General features: G+C 43.6%; 1 long non-coding RNA gene across 2 annotated transcripts; it reads right to left on the reverse strand.

Moving 5' to 3' along the window:
• Window positions 1-1,308: 1,308 nt before the first annotated feature.
• LOC124907751 (uncharacterized) lies at window positions 1,309-7,777 on the reverse strand. 2 transcript variants are annotated; one of them, XR_007086272.1, is made up of 2 exons: window positions 4,975-7,777; window positions 1,309-2,193 (listed from the first exon to the last, which is right to left on the reverse strand). It is a non-coding gene; the product is annotated as an uncharacterized LOC124907751 (long non-coding RNA). The 2 variants fall into 2 exon arrangements; XR_007086271.1 differs by having other exon boundaries at window positions 4,930-7,777.
• Between the last annotated feature and the right edge of the window lie 12,695 nt (window positions 7,778-20,472).

Below are 20,472 nucleotides of genomic sequence, written 5' to 3' on the forward strand. Positions count from 1 at the left end.
GAACATTGAGTGCAGCAAAGCAAAGACAGAAAAATGGCCACCTCTCATTCACCCCAACAGTCAGCCCCTGCTCCCCGAAGCCCCAGACCTTGTCTGGTTCCTGCCCTTTGGGGCCTGATTATTCATTTCTCCTTCAATTCTATGGGTGACACAGTAGCCTTCTGATAGGTCTCCATTTTTTTAATACTTGCAAGTAATGCACTGTGACTAACACAAAGTCTACTGATGGTGAGTCACAATTGTCACCCTGCATGTCTCCTAACAGGGGAGTAATAGTCATAGCACAAATGTGTGATCCTTGACTGTTTAAGATTCACTCCCACATATGACAACTCCTTCAGCCTTTTAACAACTCAGTGAGAAAGGCAAGCAGCAATCACAGCACCTCTTGAAAAATGAGGAAGCTGGGGTTCAGAGCTACTCAGCTGCTACACAGCCTGGGAGTGGCAGAGCCATCTCTTAAACATCCGTCTGTCTTCTGACTCCAATCAGGGATGTTTTCCACCAGACCACACTGCCTCTCACAGGCCACATGAGCTGAATTAGAGCTACTTTCCCAGAAGGAAGGTAATCCAATCTTTATCCTCTTGCCTATGGATGTCTATGGCTCACCAGGAACAAAAATTGGGACTCTAACTTTTTAAGTGTTATGTGAGAAAGTTTGGTTGGCCCTGGCATCCAAGCAAAGGATGCATAAAGACATTTAAAGCCACTTAAAGTCATCTTTAAGAGGTCATCAGGACCTTCAGCTGGATACTGGCAGCCTCCAGGAGTTCTTTCCCCTGGAAGAAGCATCTGTCTGTTTAGGAGGGCAGTTGCTTTTACAGGGTGTAATCATAGCAAAAATAACCATCCCACTCAGAGAGCCATAAGAAATTCCTCCATGATGTACACACATGTTCATACTGACTATTGGCAATAGCCATAATGTGAAAACAGTTCAAATATCCACCAACAAATAAACAAAAAGTGGTACATCCACACAATGGAACATTATTCAGCCATAAAAAGTAATGAAGTAATGATGCCTGCTACAAGGTGGATGGACCTCAAAAACATCATACTAAGTGAAAGAAGCCAGATACAAAAGGTCACATATCATATGATTCCCTTTGTATGCAATATCCAGAATAGATAAGTCCATACAGACAGAAGACAAATTGGATGGTGTCTCGGGGGCTGGAGGGAGATGGGATGGTGGGGAGGGGACTGCTTAGTGAGTAGAGGTTTTACTGACTGATGACAATGTTTTGAACTAGATAGAGGTGGTAGTCGAACAACATTATGAATGTATTAAAGGCCACTGAATTGTGAATGTCATCTCAAATTTTATAAGAAACTGCCATTGATAAGTAATAAAAGCAATTTGAACAAAACAAAACAAAGTTGTCATCAGGACGTAGCACTTCATTTTTTTTTCCGATTAGTCTTCTTGACCCCTCCCCTTCTTCATTTAAACACTCACAATCGTCTATCACTACAGGGCTCCCTTTGTGTCATTTTTAATCACAATGTTTGTTCTCTCAACAATGCCCAATGTCACCCCAGTGACTGTAGATGAAGGCTCAGTTTGATGTTCAAATTCTTCCAACCTCCACATGGAAACTGCCAGGCCTGGCCTCTGCTGTGGCCAGGCTCCTCTCTCACTGTCACTGGAGCAGATAGGCTCTTCCTGACCCCAGCCTTCAGAGAAGAGATGATCTTCATGAACTCTTGTCCTCTGTGATGGGGGATGATGATGATGATGACGATGTTACCAAACCCCTGCTCCTACTACAAGTAACATCTATTTGTCAAGAACCTTATTTGTCCCAGCTCTATTAGGTGTTTTATATTGAGGTAAGGATGTTTCCCATCAGAATTTAGATGGCTTTCCTGAGCTCTCTGCTTAGAGAGTGGGCTCTGGTGTTAACTCTGCTCCGGTGACTATTTCTTCCACTTTTCCTTTGCATTAAATAGCATGCAGCCTTCTCTCACTCTGTGTTTCTACCAGTGATAACCTCTGCTCCCTTTTGTTTTACAATTTCCCCTTCGCCTCTCCCCTCATTGACATGTAGGATTTGCATGGTTTTAGTATCTGTGTGACCTGCTGAGGCTGCACAATGCCATCGGAGCCAAGATATCAGGACAATCATCATCCATCAGGAAGTCATCCATGGGGTGGTTCTGTGTGCTATAACAGGCCAAGAGGTCCTAAGAAGAAGATAAAATGAGATCTCCTAAGAACAAACATCTCTGACTTAGGGGTAAAGGTCCCACGGGCAGGCTGGCTTTCTCTCTCTGCAGCTGGATGGAGGATCAGCTTAATTAGAATAACGAAAGTGGCTGAATGTAATGTAAAGAGTTGTCAAGTGTTGCTGTGGGTGAAGGGGGTTATTTGTTTGGGGTTCTGGCTAGTTGAATAATTATTTGTTTTTCCTCCTGATTTCTATGCCTTTGTCAAACATACACCTTTGAGCTTGGCTGTAAACTACCCAGTTCAAGGTCAACAGGCATCATGGAATCAACAAAAACTCAGTTTCTGAGAGTCAAATTGCAGGGGCTATGGCTACCAAAAAAGAATGAATGTTCTGGTAACACTTTACATTTTAAAAAATATTTATAATGATCATAGCTAGAGAGAGCTATAACTGTCTCCATGTTTGAAATGGGAAAACTGAGGCTCAGAAGGGTTATCCAAATTGCCCATACCTTATGTGGAGTTTAGACCACAAAGTCCCTATTTCTCCTTCCACTCCATCCTCAATTCCCTCTCTCCTCTCCTTCCTTATCCATTCCTTGGGTTCTTCTCTGTAAGAATTAGCTGGCCTTAGACTAGCTCCCTGACATTTGGTATCCCTTTTCTGAACTCCTATGGTGCATACCAGCTTTGTTACTCACTTGAACATTAATTTCATAATCTTCTAATATATTCTAATTAACCTGATCTAATCTTCTAACATATCACTACTTGTTTCAGGCATGCATATCTTGTATCCTTAATGAAAGTCCATATTCCTTGAGGGAGGACAACTGCTCTGCTCCCTTTTCCCTGGCCCAGCCTAGCAACATGCTGATCAAGCAGGAAGTAAGAGGATCACCACCTTTCCTGAGATCTTGAAATTGAGATGGTCCTTAAAGATTTTTCTCACCCAGGTTCAGACCCCCTACAGAAATCCCTCAGTGATCATATGAGCAAGTGAACAAGGAGATATATTTTTCCAGCTGACTTCATTACCTCTCGTTCTTTCTGCCCTTAAGCAGCAGCCTGCAGTTTCTTATAGGAGAGAAGGGAGTTAATCCTATTCCTTCCAGGGTTTTGGCTCTCGCAGTTCCAGAGTTGACAGTCAATGCTACTGTAACTCCATCAGGGGACTTACTGGCTCTACTCTCAAAAGTAATACAGGTTCACAATCTCTTACTGGGCATTCACTCTTGGAATCAGGAGTGTTTTGGCATTCAGAGTTCTTCAGATTTCAGAAAGGCCATATGGTACACATACAGTATGTCATGTAACAACCCTAGTAGGGTCCAGAGTGGCACCTTATTAGTATTTCTGCAGTGAAGCATATGCATATTTATACTAAGTGGGATAAATAAAACCTAGATATAGTTGTATGACACTTCGGGACAGGTTTTACTTCCAACTGCACAATTTTCAGAGCTTTTTTTGACTTCAGCATTATAGGTAATGGACTATGGGCCTATAATAGCTAATAGTTATTGAGTGTTTATTTTGTGTCAGACATTCTCATAAATGCCCACTGTGAGTTACCTTATATAATTCACTAACAGCTCTCTAACGAAGGTTCTCATTTTACCTATATTTCGCAGATAAGGAACTGAGGCTTAAGGAGGCTAATAAGTTGCTCAAGGTCACACAGAGGGTGAGCAATAGAGCAAGATTCTATGGGCATTTATAGCATCACCTCCTCTTTCATCTCTACGGTCCCCTCTGGGGGCATATAGCATGGTGGACCTGGGAGAGGCTAGTGACTCCCCACTGACTCCAATGGGACCTCTGAGCTATAGGACTAGGCAGATCCTACCCTTGGACATGGGGAAGCCAAGCCTTGGGTCTTGAAAACAAGAGACAAGAGAAAATCACCATCCTGAATTAATTGATGACTGGTTCAAGGACTAACTTCACCCTTGACCAGGAATGAGACAAGTGTGATGTGGAATCACCTGGCCTCAAAGGTTGATGCATAGTGCATTGGTTAAGAGCAGTAGCACTGACCATGAGGGGTCAAATCTTGTAACTAGCTGGGGATGCTGGGCAAACTTCCTCCTTGCCAGGCTTCATTCCCCTCTTCTGTAAAATGTGATTGCCTGATGCTTCTTCACAAGACTATTTGAAAATTAAATAAAACAATTCACATAAACACAGTGCCTGATGGAGTGAGCCCTCGATATTAGCTTTCAATAAAAGCACGTCATGAAAGAAAACAGGATAGTAAACTGAGATAACCAAAGAGGAAAGGAATGGAAAGTCTGATCCTTCAGTGTTCAAGTGCCCAGTCTGGATCCTTTTGCTGTAAAAAGCACCATCTTTTCAGTCTGGTCTAGTCTAGCCTCAGCCAAACTAAACTAATGGCTTTAGGAGCTCCTCTGTGAGGAAAGAGAAGCAGCACCATGGCCGTGAAGGATGTTGGGTGGGACTGCGCGCATTGGCTGGGTGGAAGGTGGGGGTGGGAGAGCGCTGTGTAGCTGGAGCATGGTGGGCTAGGCGAGCCTCTGCAAATAACTTGGACTTGGTCTGCAGACTCAACAGCTCACATCCACATAGAGAGGTTGCTACTCTTGTTAGCTCATTCTCACCAAACTCTCTGGGAAATGACCCCATGCTTTTCCTCCCATGCCCCTGAGAGAGTCTGAAGTCATGGACAGTCCTTACAGATGCATGGTCTGCCTTTCCACCGCTAAACACAGGACATCAGAAAATCCCACCTGGGGCAACCAAGATTGCCCGAGAGGATGCTCACAGGACCACACCTCTTCACTGGGGTCTTCCAGGGCCATCTCTGGAGGCACCTCGGGCCTGGGTTCAAATTCTACACAATGCTCAAGTAGACACGGTGGCCATAAAGTCTTCTTCTGCGCGATAATCTCATGGGCAGGCACAAGCCCCTGCTGAAGGGTAACAGAGAACAAAAGTTCTGGGAAGTTCTGTGGGCGTTTGACCAATTCACCTTGTGTCCCCAGGGGAGACACAATAGGCAAACAATAAGTGCTTAATAAATGTTTGTGGAGTGAATTAATGATAAATGTTTGTTGCATGAATAAATAAAAAGGACACACACTTTTTGGCCATTGCGACGCACAGCTCAGCTTCCCCTGAAGGGATGCCCAGCTGTGTCCTACTCCGATTCTGGCTTCAGGCTCCTCAGGGCCAGCAGTGGAGTTCTTCTGAGTTCTACCCCCCACCCCTGTGGAAAGAAAGAAAAGGAAGCCAAACCCAGTGGATTCTGTCCCGACTGGCTGGTTCCTGTCAGTCTCAGCCTGTCAGCCTCCTTTGTAAAGCTCACAGCGTCTGCCCTTGTTCCAGGGACAGGCCTGCCATTAGGAGCTTTCCAGATCCAATCCTGGCTGCTCTGAGAGCAAAAATTAAATCAGCAGACAGTGATGTCTGCTTTCTGTTCTTTTCACACCTGTGTGCCAACAGCAGGATTACTGGCACAGCTCTAGGCTGTGCCCAGACTGGTAAGCACCCTGCAAAAACATCCCGAAGGCCTGGGGCGGGAGGAGGTCAGTCAAGTGCAGGCCAGCTTCTAAGGCCCACACAGCAGCTCACTGACATTTCTTTGGGGGCCACTGGGCTGTAGGTGGGGCTGGAATGAAAAGAAGCACACATACAGAGTCAGCCACAGGTCATCCACATCAGCCAGGAGTATCGTTTACTTGATGAGTATTTGTTGGGTGATCCCACGTGGCCGGGACTGTGGTGGCGTCTCTGTCTCTCAGATCCTTCCTTCTGTAGCCCCGGGCTTAGCAGTTTCCCAGGTTGAGGAAGGCATAGATGTGCCACAAGAGACATTTTGGGCATACTTGCAGGAGTGGGGTGACCCCCCCAGGTTAGAAGCCAGTGCTTGAGAGGCTCTGCCACCACGTCCCCCTCTTCTTTGCACAGCTCAGTGATTCCCTCTGGAAGGTGTCCCGGGTACAGGGCAACAGTCTGGGAAGAGCAGAAAAGCCTCTAGGCCCCCAAGGAAGATCAGTGTGTCACTGTCCTCTCCGAATCCACTAGGGTCTCCCATAAATATACAGCCTGGAACTCCTGCCCAGCAGATGATGCAGGAAAAGAAAAGAAAAATCACCACAGAGCCCCGTGCCCTGTTCCCATAAACACACAGTGATTAAAAATACCTGGAGCCTTAAAAGTGCACCTTCCCCACCAGAGCCCAGTGCAGGGGGCCACAGCTCAGAGACAGGAGGAGCAGCCTCTCAGAAGAGAAAGCTGAGGCTGAGGTCATCTCCTGCTGGGGCCTGGGAGGCCTCTGCTCCGTGGGGCTTTGGCAAAAAAGAAGCTGGAAGCAGAGAAGTAGAGGCATTGCTGGAGCCTGTAAGGCCCTGGAAGAAAATTACACAGGAGGCCTCTTAATTCTACTCTGAATGAGACTCAACTAAGGCCTGTTGTGTTTTTCCTTGTAGCTGAGACATCTAATAAAATAGAAAGCAGAAAATCTTGTCACCAAGTGGGAAAGTTGTGTTTTCTTCTCCAATGGCTTTCTCAAGACTCTAACAGCCAGCCCCTTCCTTGCTTTCTCGACACCCTAAGGAATGGCCTGGGTTTGCTCAGGGTAGAGCAACCCCCGGAGAGGGGCTGGGGCTCAAACGGAAGTCTCAACCCTAGGTAGCAGGCTGGGGTCAAACTCTACTCCATTGCTAGTGTGTGTTTGTGAGCGTGTGCGTGTGTGTGTGTGTGTGCGTGTGTGAAAGAGAGAGAGGGAATGAGTGTGTACAATAGGAAGCCATAGAAGTATGTAGAAAAAGGTATAAACCATGGAGAAGCTTGCAGCTCAATGTCACCTGAGCAGGGAGCACACCTGCACCTTTTCAGAATACAAGATGACTTCAGAGTCCTACTTAGGACAGTGTATTGTGCTCCCAGAGGAACCTTTCCCAAAAATGTTGTGATACACATTAAATGATGTTAGTTAAACTATTGCTGCTCCAGTCTTGAGTTGTGTGTGCAGAATCTCATCTGTGCATCCCAGGTTCCCCTTTGAAGGGGTTGCATCCCCTGTGGGTAGAATACGTGGGTCTAGAAAGCTCCACATACCATCACTCTGTGACCTTCTTGGGGAGTTCTTGCTTCCATTTCTGAAGCACTGAGCTCTGTGTGTTTAGAAGTCCTAGTTCTCTAAAGGGGAAGTCCTCCCAGAGATCACAGGGAGTCCCATTGAATTCTAAGCTGCAGCTGCCACCAGGGCACTTTGGGTTTTTTGTGCCAAGGGGCCAGAAATCAAGAAGTGGCTCACTACCCTGGCAGGGGTAAGTGACCCTAATCAGCAGGGAGGAGGTACGGCTGCTGTCAGTCAGGGGCAGGGAGGAGTGCCTTTGGCACCAGGTAATTTACTTGGGTGTCCCTTGGTACCCATTTAGTCAATTTTGACAGTAAATGGAAAATGAAGCAGTCATGGGGAGGAGCTGCTTCCAGAACCTATAAGAAGTGGATTTGAGTGGCACAAAAGATGGACCATTGTAGATTCTGTGATGAGCTGCCCAGATGCTCCTTCAGGACTGAAGGACTTATCCCCCAGCTACTGCAAGTGCTGCCAACTGATAGCCCTCTTGTTGTTGTTTTTAATCTTTTAATCTTATTTCCATAGGTTTTTGGGGACAGGTGGTATTTGGTTACATGAGTAAGTTCTTTAGTAGTAATTTGTGAGGTTTTGGTGCACCCATCACCCAAGCAGTATATATTGAAACCAGTTTGTAGTGTTTTATCCCTCACCGCCTTTCTACCTTTCCCCCCTGAGTCCCCAAAGTCCACTGTGTCATTCTTATGCCTTCACATCCTCATAGCTTAGCTCCCACCACTATGAGTGAAAACATATGATGTTCGGTTTTCTGTTCCTGAGTTACTTCACTTAGAACAATATTCTCCAATCCCATCTAGATTGCTGCACATGCCATTATTTCATTCCTTTTTATCGCTGAGTAGTTTTCCATCACATACATACACATATATGTATGTATACATATATGTATATATGTGTGTGTATATATATGTGTGTGTGTGTGTATATATATATATGTATATATATATACACCGCAGTTTCTTTATCCACTCATTGATTGATGTGATACATATATACCATAGTTTCTTTAACCACTCATCGATTGATGGGAATTTGGGTTAGTTCCACATTTTTGCAATTGTGGAACTATAAACATGCTTGTGCAAATATCTTTTTCATGTAATGACTTCTTTTCCTCTGGGTAGATACCCAGTAGTGGGAGTGCTGGATCAAATGGTAGTTCTACTTTTAGTTCTTTAAGGAATCTCCACTGTTTTCTATAGTGTTTGTATAGTTTACATTCCCACCAGCAGTGTAGAAGTGTTCCCTTTTCACCACATCCACGCCAAAATCTATTATTTTTTTATTTTTTGATTATGGCCATTCTTGCAGGAGCGAGATGGTATCACATTGTGGTTTTGATTTGCATTTCCCTGATCATTAGTGATGTTGAGTATTTTTTCTTATGCTTGTTGACCATTTGCATATCTTCTTTTGAGAATTGTCCATTCATGTCCTTAGCCCAATTTTGATTGGATTTTTTGTTTGTTTTCTTGCTAATTTGTTGAGTTCATTGTAGATTCTGGATATTAGTCCTTTGTCAGATGTATAGATTGTGGAGATTTTCTCCCACTCTGTGGGTTGTCTGTTTACTCTGCTGACTGTTCCTTTTGCCATGCAAAAGCTCTTTAGTTTAATTAAATTCTGCCTATTTATCTTTGTTTTTATTGCATTTGCTTTTGGACTCTTCGTCATGAAATCCTTGCCTAAGCCAATGTCTAGAAGGGTTTTTCCAATGTTATCTTCTAGAATTTATAAAACTATAAAGTTTCAGGTCTTAGATTTAAGCCTCATTCCATCTTGAGTTGATTTTTGTATAAAGTGAGAGATGAGGATCTAGTTTCATTCTCCTACATGTGGCTAGCCAATTATTCCAGCACCATTTGTTGAATAGGGTGCCCTTTCCCCACTTTAAGTTTTTTGTTTGCTTTGTTGAAGATCAGTTGGCTGTAAGTGTTTGGGTTTGTTTCTGTGTTCTCAATTCTGTTCCATTGGGCTATGTGCCTATTTTCATACCAGTACCTTACTGTTTTGGTGACTGTAGCCTTATAGTATACTTTGAAATCAGGTAATGTGATGCCTCCAGATGTGTTCTTTTTGCTTAGTCTTGCTGTGGCTATGCACACTCTTTTTTGGTTTCATATGAATTTTAGGATTGTTCTTTCTAGTTCTGTGAAGAACGATGGTGGCATTTTGTTGGGAATTGCATTGAATTTGTAGATTGCTTTTGGCAGTATGGTCATTTTCACAATATTGATTCTACCCATTCATGAGCATTGGATGCGTTTCCATTTGTTTGTGTCATCTATGATTTCTTTCAGCAGTGTTTTGTAGTTTTTCTTGTAGAGGTCTTTCATATCCTTGGTTAGGTATATTCCTATTTTTTTTTTCGCAGCTATTGTAAAAGGGGTTCAGTTCTTGATTTGATCCTCAGCTTGGTTTCTGTTGGTGTATAGAAGAGCTACTGATTCGGGTACATTAATTTTGTATCCTGAAACTTTGCTGAATTCACTTATCAGTTCTAGGAGCTCTTTGGAGGGGTCTTTAGGGTTTTCTAGGTATACATTCATATTATCAGCAAACAGCAACAGTTTGACTTCCTCCTTCCTGATTTGGATGCCTTTTATTTCTTTCTCTTGTCTAACTGCTCTGGCTAGGACTTCCAGTACTATGTTCAATAAAAGTGGTGAGAGTGGGCATCCTTGTCATGTTCCAGTTCTCAGACGGAATGCTTTCAACTTTTACCCATTTAGTATTATGTTGTCTGTTGGTTTGTCATATATGGCTTTTATTACATTAAGGTATGTCCCTTGTATGCCAATTTTGCTGAGAGTTTCAATCTTAAAGCGATGCTGGATTTTGTCAAATGCTTTTTATGTGGCTGTTGAGATAATCATGAGATTTTTGTTTTTAATTCTGTTTATGTGATGTATCACATTTATTGACTTGTGTATGTTAAAGCATCCCTGTATCCCTGGTATGAAACCCACTTGATCATGGTGGATTATCTTTTTGATATGTTGATGGATTCAGTTAGCTAATATTTTGTTAAGGATTTTTGCATCTATGTTCCTCAGGGATATTGGTCTGTAGTTTTCTTTTTTTGTTATGTCCTTTCCTGGTTTTGGTATTAGGGTGATACATGCTTCATAGAATGCTTTAGGGAGGATTCCCTCTTTATCTTGTGGAATACCATCAATAGGATTTGTACCAATTCTTCTTTGAATGTCTGGTAGAATTCAACTGAGAATCAGTCTGGTCCTAGACTTTTTTGTTGGTAATTTTTTTATTACCATTTCAATCTTGCTGCTTTTTATTGTTCTGTTCAGGATATCTAATTCTTACTGATTTAAGGTAGGAAGGTTGTATCGTTCCAGGAATTTATCCATCTCCTCTAGGTTTTCTAGTTTTTGCACGTAAAGGTGTTCATAGTAGCCTAGAATGATCTTTTGTATTTCTGTGGTATCAGTTATAATAGCTCCCCTTTTGAGCTTATTTGGATTTTCTCTCTTCTTTTCTTGGTTAATCTTGCTAATGGTATGTCAATTTTATTTATCTTTCAAAGAATCAGCTTTTTGTTCCATTTATCTTTTGTATTGTTTTTTGTTTGTTTGTTTCAATTTCATTTAGTTTTGCTCTGACCTTGGTTATTTTCTTTCTTCTTTTGGGTTTGGGTTTGGTTTGTTCTTGTTTCTCTAGTTCCTTGAGGTGTGACCTCAGGTTGTCTATTTGTGCTCTTTCAGACTTTTTGAGGTAGGCATTTAGGGCTATGAACTTTTCTCTTAGCACTGCCTTTGCTATACCCCAGAGGTTTTGATAAGTTGTGTCACTATTATCGTTCAGTTTGAAGAATTTTTAAATTTCCATCTTGATTTCATTGTTGACCCAATGATCATTCAGGAGCAGGTTATTTAATTTCCATGTATTTGCATGGTTTTGAATGTTCCTTTAGAGTTGATTTCCAGTTTTATTCCACTGTGGTCTAAGAGAGTACTTGACATAATTTCTATTTTCTTAAACTTATCAAGACTTGTTTTGTGGCCTATCATATGGTCTATCTTGGAGAAAGTTCCATGAGCTGGTGAATAGAATGTGTAATCAGCAGTTGTTCAGTAGAATATTCTATAAATGTCTGTTAGGTCCATTTGTTCGAGGGTATAGTTTAAATCCATCGTGTTTTTGTTGACTTTCTGTCTTGATGACCTGTCTAGTGCTGTCAGTGGAGTATTGCAGTCCCTCACTATTATTATGTTGCTGTCTATCTCATCTCTTAGATCTAGTAGTAATTTCATAAATCTGGGTGCTCCAGTGTTAGGTGCATATATATTTAGGGTTGGGATATTTCCCTGTTGGACAAGGCCTTTTATCATTATATAATGTCCTACTTTGTCTTTTTTAACTACTGTTACTTTAAAGTTTGTTTTGTCTGATGTAAGAATAGCTATTCCTGCTCACTTTTGGTGTCCATTTGCATGGGATGTCTTTTTCCATCCTTTTATCTTAAGTTTATATGAGTCCATATGTGTTAGGTGAGTCTCTTGAAGGCAGCAGAGAGTTGGTTGGGAATTCTTATCCACTCTGCAATTCGTATCTTTTAAGTGGAGCATTTAGGCCATTTACATTCAGTGCTAGAATTGAGATGCGAGGTACTATTCCATTCATCATGCTATTTGTTGCCTGTATACCTTGTCTTTTTAATTGTTCTTTTTTTTGTATTTTTATTTTATAGGTCCTGTGTGATTTATGCTTTAAAGAGGTTCTGTTTTGATGTGTTTCCAGGATTTGTTTCAAGATTTGTAACTCCTTTTAACAGTTCTTGTAGTCCTGGCTTGGTAGTGGTGAATTCTCTCAGCATTTGTTTGTCTGAAAAAGATTGTATCTTTCCTTCATCTATGAAGCTCAGTTTTGCTGGATACACAATTCTTGGCTGCTAATTGTTTCGTTTAACGAGGCTGAAGATAGGGCCCCAATACCTTCTAGCTTGTAGGGTTTCTAGTGAGAAATCTGCTGTTGATCTGACAGGTTTTCCTGTATAGGTTACCTGGTGCTTTTGCCTCACAGCTTCTAAGATTCTTTCCCTTTGTCTTGACTTTAGGTAACGTGATGACCATGTCCCTAGGTGATAATCTTGTTGTAATGAATTTCCCAGGTGTTATATGAGCTTCTTGTATTTGGATGTCTAGGTCTCTAGCAAGGCCAAATAAATTTTTCTCAATTATTTCCCCAAATATGTTTTCCAAACTTTTAGATTTCTCTTCTTCCTCAGGAATCTCAGTTATTCCTAGGTTTGGTTGCTTAACATAATCCCAAACTTCTTAGAGGGTTTGTTCATTTTTTCTTATTCTTTTTTCTTTGTCTGTGTTGGATTGGGTTAATTTGAAAACATTGTCTTCAAGCTCTGAAGTTCTTTCTTCTTGTTTGATTCCATTGCTGAGGCTTTTCAGGACATTTTGCATTTCACTAAGTGCGTCCTTTATTTCCTGAAGTTGTGATTGTTTTTTATTTATGCTAGTTATTTCACTGAAGATTTCTCCCCTTATTTCTTGTATCATTTTTTTTTATTTCCTTAAATTGGACTTCAGCTTTCTCTGGTGCATTTTTGATTAGCTTAAGACTGAACTTCTAAATTCTCTTTCAGGTAAATCAGGGATTTTTTCTTGGTTTGGATCTATTGCTGGTGAGCTAGTGTGATTTTGGCAGGGGTTGGGGGGTGGCTGTTAAAGAACCTTGTTTTGTCATATTACCAGAATTGTTTTTCTGGTTCCTTCTCATTTGGTATGCTATGTCAGAGGGAAGATTTAGGGCTCAAGGCTGCTGTTCAGATTATTTTGTCCCACAGGGTGTTCCCTTGATGTAGTACTCTCCCCCTTTTCCTAGGGATGTGGCTTTCTGGGAGCCGAGCTGTAGCGATTGTTATCTCTCTTCTGGATCTATCCACCCAGCAAGTCTACCAGGCTTCAGGCTGGTACTACAGGTTGTCTGCACTGAGTCCTGTGATGTGAACTGTCTTTCGGTCTCTCAGCTGTGGGTACCAACACCTGCTCCAGTGGAGGTGGCAGGGGGTGAATTGGACTCTGAGAGGGTCCGTAGTTTGGGTTGTTTAATGCACTGTTTTTGTGCTGGTTGGCCTCCTGCCAGGGGGTGGTGCTTTCAAGAGAGCATCAGCTGTGGTAGTATAGGGAGGATCAGGCGGTGGGTTGGGGGTCCTATAACACCCAAGAGTATATGCCTTTTGTCTTCAGCTACCAGGGTGGATAGGGAAGGACCATCAGGTGGGGGTGGGGCTCGACGTGTCTGAGCCTTGGGTGGGTCTTGCTGCAGCTGCTGTGGGGGTTGGGGCTGTGGTTCCCAGGTCATTGGAGTTATGTTCCTAGGAGGATTATGGCTGCCTCTGCTATGTCATGCAGGTGGTCAAGGAAGTGGGAGAAATCCAGAAGTCACACTCTTCAACCAGCTTCCACATGACCCAAAAAGTGGGTCTCACTCCCACTGTGTCCCACCCAGCCCCATCAACAGCAACAGTCTGTTTCCAGCCAGCAGGTGAACAGGGCTGAGAACTTGCCCCAGGCTACAAGCCTCCCAGCTGCAAAAGCAAGTAGGGCTTTTGTGCTTCCCCACCTGTGGATTCTGCACAACAGATTCATGCCCTCCCCTGAGTTCTGGCCAGGAAACTTTGCGTTTGGTTGGAATTTTTACAAAGTTCAGCTGGAGATTTCCTTCTCCCTGTGGTCTTTTCTTAGTTCCTCCCCTCCCCAAGGACCCCTGTCAGACAAGTCTGAAATAGCTTCCCAGGAGACTCAGAGCCCACAGGGTTTTTGCCACTGCTTCCTCTACCACTGTATTTTGCTCAGCTTTCTAAATTGACTTAGCTCCAGGTAAGGTCAGAATCTTCTCCCATAATTTAGACCCTCAGGTTCCCCAGTGAGGGTATGTGTTTGGGGGCAGACGATCCCCCTTTCCCACCTCCACAGCTTAGGCACTCACAGTATTTGGGCTGTCTCCCGGGTTTTGCAGGGGCAATCCACTTCCTTCAGAGGGTCTGTGGGTTCTCTTGGCTTTCCTGGTTTATTCCTGCAGTATTCTGGAGTGGTTAGTTAACACTGAGGTTTAAAACCCTACACTCTTGCCAAAACTCAAGGAAAACATGGGCAGCTCCCTCCATCTCCTCCCTTCCTAGGAGAGAATAAGGAAAGGCATGTGGCCTAGAAGCAAGGGGAAGAAAGAGGGCCAGAAGGAGAGAGGAGACCAGCATGTGCCCAGGATTAAAATCAGGCAAGTTCTCCACTTACGAGGGAAAGAAGGACATTGTCAAACTGCCTTTAGAGAAAGGACAGAGACAGAAGGGAGTTTTGTTCTTGTTGTTGTTGTTGTTGTTGTTGTGTTTGTTTGTTTGTTTTTTGAGATGGAGTCTCGCTCTCTCTCCAGGCTGGAGTGTAGTGGCACTATCTCAGCTCACTGCAACCTCCACCTCCCAGGTTCAAGCGATTCTCCTGCCTCAGCCTCCTGAGTAGCTGGGACTACAGGCACGTGCCACCATGCCCAGTTCATTTTTGTATTTTTAGTAGAGATGGGGTTTCACCATGTTGGCCAGGATGGTCTCGATCTCTTGACCGTGTGATCTGCCTGCCTCGGCCTCCCAAAGTGCTGGGATTACAGGCGTGAGCCACCATGCCCAGCCGAGAGAAGGGAGTTTTAAATGTTCTTCAGTGTTTCCAAAGGGCCTTCTCCATGACCATTGCTGCTGTAAGCTTTCCCCTATAACCAGGAGGTCTGGCTACCCATGGCCCCACATCCGAAGGCTCAGTGGGTAGAAGAGCTGAGCCTTCTCTGGTGAGAAGTGAGGTGCTGGGCTTGGATATCGGTTTTTCAGCACACTAACCCAGTTACCACCCTCTTTCCTTCTCTCTCCACTAGTCACACACCCCTGTTTTCTAGGTGTGAACCACTGACAAAGCATTTTTCATGCACCTTGCTTTGGTGGTGATGTGGCCCACATCTACATAGGCTCCAACTACTGCCAGCAGCTGGTGGAATGACTTAAGGTCTAGCAGAAGTCATATGGATAGGTCATATTGATAGAGTCATATCGCTATCCCTGGCGATTACTGCAGGTGCAGTAATCAGCTCAGACAGCACTGTGTGTCTGCTTAATCAGATGAGTGTCTGGATGATGTGTGTTATTTGAGAAGAGCACAGAGATTTGAGTAGTTCAGCCCAGATTCAAGCTCTGACTCAGCTACTTACCCACCCAGTACATGACGTGAGTGAATTAGTTAACTTCTCTGAGCCTATTTCCTTATCTGGAAAATAGAATTAATGCTGACATCATAGGATCACTGTGAACTAAAGTGGTTAATTAAAAACAAAAGTATTTGTGAGGTATGAAAGCCTGCAGTGATATGGGACACCATAAAGGTGGAGAACGTAGTATCTGAAGTTGAAGAGCCCGGCACTTGGGTTCCAGCTACACTGGTCACTAGTGCGGGGACCTTGAACAGATGCTGATGCTTTTATTTTTAATATAGACTTTTTGTTTTTCAGGCAGGGTCTCCTTCTATCACCTACGCTGGAGTGCAGTGGCATAAACATGACTCACTGCAGCCTTGACCTCCTGGGCTCAAGTAGTCCTCCTACCTCAGCCTCCTGAGTAGCTGGGAACACAGGCACATGCCACTATGCCCAGCTAATCTTTCAGTTTTGTAGAGACAGGGTCTTGCTATGTTGCCCAGGCCAGTCTCAAACTCCTGGGCTCAAGCAATCCTCCCGCCTCAGCCTCCCAAAGTGCTGGGGTTACAGGCATGAGCCACTGTGCCCGGCTAGACTTTAATTTTTAGAGCAGTATTAGGTTCCCAAAAAAATTGAGTTGGAAGTACAGAGATTTCCCATATATCACCCCCAACCCCAGCTTCCTCCACTGTCAACATCCCATGCTGAAGCGGTACATTAGTTACAATTGATGAACCTACACAGACCCATCATTATCACCCAAAGTTCATACTTTGCATTAGTGTTCACTCTTGGTGTACATTCTAAGGGTCTGGACGAATGTATAATGACATGCATCCACCATTACAACATCATGCTGAGTAGTTCCACTGCCCTAAAAATCCTCTGTTCTTCACCTGTTCATCCTTTGTTGCCCCCAGACCCCTGATAACCACTGATGCTTCTACTGTCTCCATAGTTTTGCCTTTTTCATAATGCCATGTAGTTGGAATTACACAATATGTAGCCTTTTCAGATTGGCTGTTTCACTTAGTGACATGCATTTAAGCTTCCTCCATGCCTTTTCATGGTTTGATAGCTCATTTTCTTTTAGTAATGAATAATACTCCATTCTCTGGATGTACCAGTTTATTTATCCATTCGCCTACTGAAGGAAATCTTGGTTGCTTCCAAGTTTTGGCAATTACAAATAAAACTGCTGTAAACATCCATGTGCAGGTTTTTTTGTGGATCTAAGTCTTCAACTCAATTGGGCAAATACCCAGGAGAATGATTGCTATATCATATTCACTTTTCTGAGCCTCATTTTCTTCACTGGTAAAGTGGAGATAACAATAGTCCCATAGGGTGATTGTGAAGTTTAATTGAGATAATGCACATGAAGCCCTTAGCAATGCACCCAGCACATAGGCAATACTCAACTAATGGTAGCCCATCCTTGTTATCCTATTCAAGAGTAATGACAATACAAATGTGAGAGATGGAAATTCAAGTATTGACCGAGGGATATGACACATGGAGGTGGCATAGTCATGCGTCATCTGTCCATACTCCAAGAGGGCACAGGGCAACAAGAAATACTAGAAGACAGTCAGGGCACCACTGCTGCCATTGAGGTGGGATCTGGTCATCTCCTAGGGCCTGTGACCCTGAGTCCTGCAGTCCTGAGCTGCCAGGGTAGGGGAGGTGGAGATCAACCCATGGTCCCACAGTGAAGTGTGTCCCAGCTTTAGCAAACCAAGGTATCCTCCCACTGTGCATTCCTCTCCTCCCCAAGCCTGCTCCTCCAGCAGCTCCCCACTCCCCTCCTTTTGACTTATCTGAGCCAAGCCCTGTCCCTAACTAGAAACTCAGAGGTGATGAAAACAAAGTTTTTTCCTCGCTTTACTTACTTCCTGTGAACTCGCTTAATTGTTCCCAGATTACTAGGTCACCAGGAGGATTTGGTACCTTGGATTTTTTTTTCTTCTTCTTCCTTATGCTTTCTGGAGACAACAAGGGTCACTTGGGGTCCTGCCTTGTGTGGCAAGGGTATGCTGATCGGATTTCTCTGGAATCCATTTCTGTGGTGTTTCTTGAGTGAGGGGATGGACTGAGTGGCCTGGGTGGTGTGTGGCTTTCAGAAAGCAATGCATTATTTTCTGCAGAAGTAACTAAAGACACGTTCTCTGAGCCTCCAGTGATAGGCCATGTTAGCTGGAAACAATAATGGTGGTTGTATTTCTGTTGTTTCTATCTCAGCCTTTCTTTTTCAGGCTGCCATAGAATTATTAAATGGTTTGAGTCAAAATCAGGCCTGAGCCTTTCAGAAGCCTTTCCTTAGACAAACACCGCTGGTAACGCTTTAGTTTAGCCTTCTGACAAGTGGGTCTCATTACTCCACCCATGTGCCCTTCCCCTCTGCTCCCATTCCCCTCTCTTGGATAAAAGCCTGGGGAGGAGTGAGAACTGCTTTGCCCTGTGCTCTTGGAGCAGGGCCTTTCTCTCAGGATACAAAGCCCTTGGGGAAGCAGGCAATTCTGCCCATGATGCTTCTGATGCTTTGGGTGGAAAAGGTTGCCACCCGAGAGCCTGGTTTAGGCACCACTCCAGCAACACCCAGGAATCAGCTGAGTGTCCCCCAGCATGTCACCTCCACGGTGAGGGTGTTGGACCTGATGACCTCTTCTAGATCCATTTTTAAACATTTCTCCAAGTGACTTTAGCACTACCCAGTAGAGGTTTCTACAATGACAGGAATGTTCACTAAAGGCTACCCTGTACAATAATGGCAGCCACTGGTCACGTGTTGCCTTTGAGCACTTGAAATGTGAATGGTACAGTGCAGAAAGACTTATTTCATTTAATTTTAATTAATTTAAATTTAAGGAGCCACAAGGGGCTAACGGCTACCATATTAGACAACACAGGCCTAGGCTACTGGATTCTGTATGTTTAAAACTGTGTGTTCCATCCATTCTATCTAGAAATTATACCACATCCACCCATGTCTCTTCATTTCCACAGTATCCACCTTAAGCTGAGCCACCAACATCTCTTTCTTAGGAAATGACAATATTTACTCCTTGGTTTCCTTTCTCTAACTTTAGCTCCCTCTGATCCGTTTGCTACAGTGAAAAGTGATCTTAAAACAAAAATTGACCAAGTTACTCTTCTCCTCAAAATCCTTCAACAACTTCCCCACTGCAGTAAAATTGAAAACCCCTCATGAGGCCTGCAAGTGCCTGCATGCTCTGAGCCCTGCTCCCTTGAGTGTCTGCACAGTCTGAGCCCTGTTCCTTCAAGTGTCTGCACACTCTGAGCCCTGTTCCCTTCAGGCCTCATGCTGTCTCAGTCTCCCCACTGTACCCACCACAAATTAGGCTTCTGGAAGCCATCAAACCCTTTTTCAGTTCAGGTCCTTTGCTTAAACTTCCCATTTGTTCTAGAGCTGTGCTGTCCAATACAGATGCCACTAGCCACATGTGGTTTTTAAGAAATATGTATTTTTTCATTAATTAAAATTAAACAAAACTTAAGATTTATTTCTCAGTCACACTAGACACGTTTTAAGTGCTTGCTAGTCACATGTGGCTGATGGTTACCATATTGGACAGCACAACAGTTCTTTTGGACAGCACAGTTCTGGGACATTTTTCCCCACACTTGAGCTTAGCTAATTCCTACCCATCCTTCAAGTCCAACATTCCATAGAGGCCTTTTCTGACCCTCCACTCTAAATTAAGGGTCCCCGCTTTATTTCTCACAGAACCTGCAATTTTCCTTTTCAGTTCTTCCAACTCTTTGCAAAATTATAGTTACGTGTCTGACTGTTTAATATTCATGTTTCCTATTAAGATCTAAGGCAGTGTCTCTTTTGTCCACCTGTCAATCCTCAGCCCCTGTCTCAGTGCCTGGCACTTAGCAGGAGCTCATTCATGTTGAGTGAATGAATGAAATAATGAATACGTATATAGATGGGTATAGTGGCTAAACATCATTTACTTGCCTAAAGAAACACAAAATCAAGAGTGAGAGCTTAGGAACCACATGGTCCTGAAATAAAACTCTGACTTCCATTCTTATTCTAACCTTTGGGAGCCACTGTCTCCTCATGTAAAAAACGAATGTTATTGCCATCTTAGACTGCTGTGCTGAGGAGTGAATGGGCTGACACAGGCAAAGCCCTCAACATATAATTATAATAGGTGTCATGTGTACATGCGTTTTTTTCTCTTTATCCCCTCTGCTATGTCCTTCTATCCTTCTCCATGGTCCCCTCCCTTCCACGCTGCATCTCTGGACCTGGCCTCTGCGTCTCTCATGCCTCAGGCCCATCCCTCTCTAAGAGATCTTTAGTTCCTGCCAACCTGTCGCAACTCAAGGATTAAACTAAACATTTCTCCAGCATAGAGCACCCCCTATGTTTGGGCATTCTTCACTGTCTTCCCTGTATGTGGCTGTATAAACCAGCCTGAACTACCTTCCCACCCAGAGCTCATAAAGGCAGACTCCAGCCTGCAAATGCTCTCAGAATAGCATTTGCTCAGAATAGCAGGTGCTCTTAACACCTGGCAGAGAGGGGCCCCATTCTCTTTGGGCATTTTCCATCAATTTGTATCTGCAGACCACATGCATCAGAATCACCTCCAGGGCTTGTTTAAAATTCAGATTCTTGGGTCTCACTCTAGATTTATTTAACCAGAATCTCTGCAAGGGGGGCCCTGAACCTGCATTTTCAATAACCAGCTCAGATGATTCAGAGCTCTTGTCAAGCCTTCTCAGGGTATAACATTTAACCCCGGGGAATACTGGGAGGATGGTTCCGATAAGCCACTCACTGATCCTCCTTTAATGTTTATACAATTTCATTTTTACATCAAAAGATCATTTACCAAACACCTACCTAGTGAGTTATTGAGTTTATTACTATTATTTGGAACTCATAAACTCACATGAGGAATTTTGTCAGGCTTAAAGGGGG

This window comes from Homo sapiens, chromosome 2 (genome assembly GCF_000001405.40).
Source record: "Homo sapiens chromosome 2, GRCh38.p14 Primary Assembly".
In the NCBI taxonomy this organism is placed as follows: domain Eukaryota; kingdom Metazoa; phylum Chordata; class Mammalia; order Primates; family Hominidae; genus Homo; species Homo sapiens.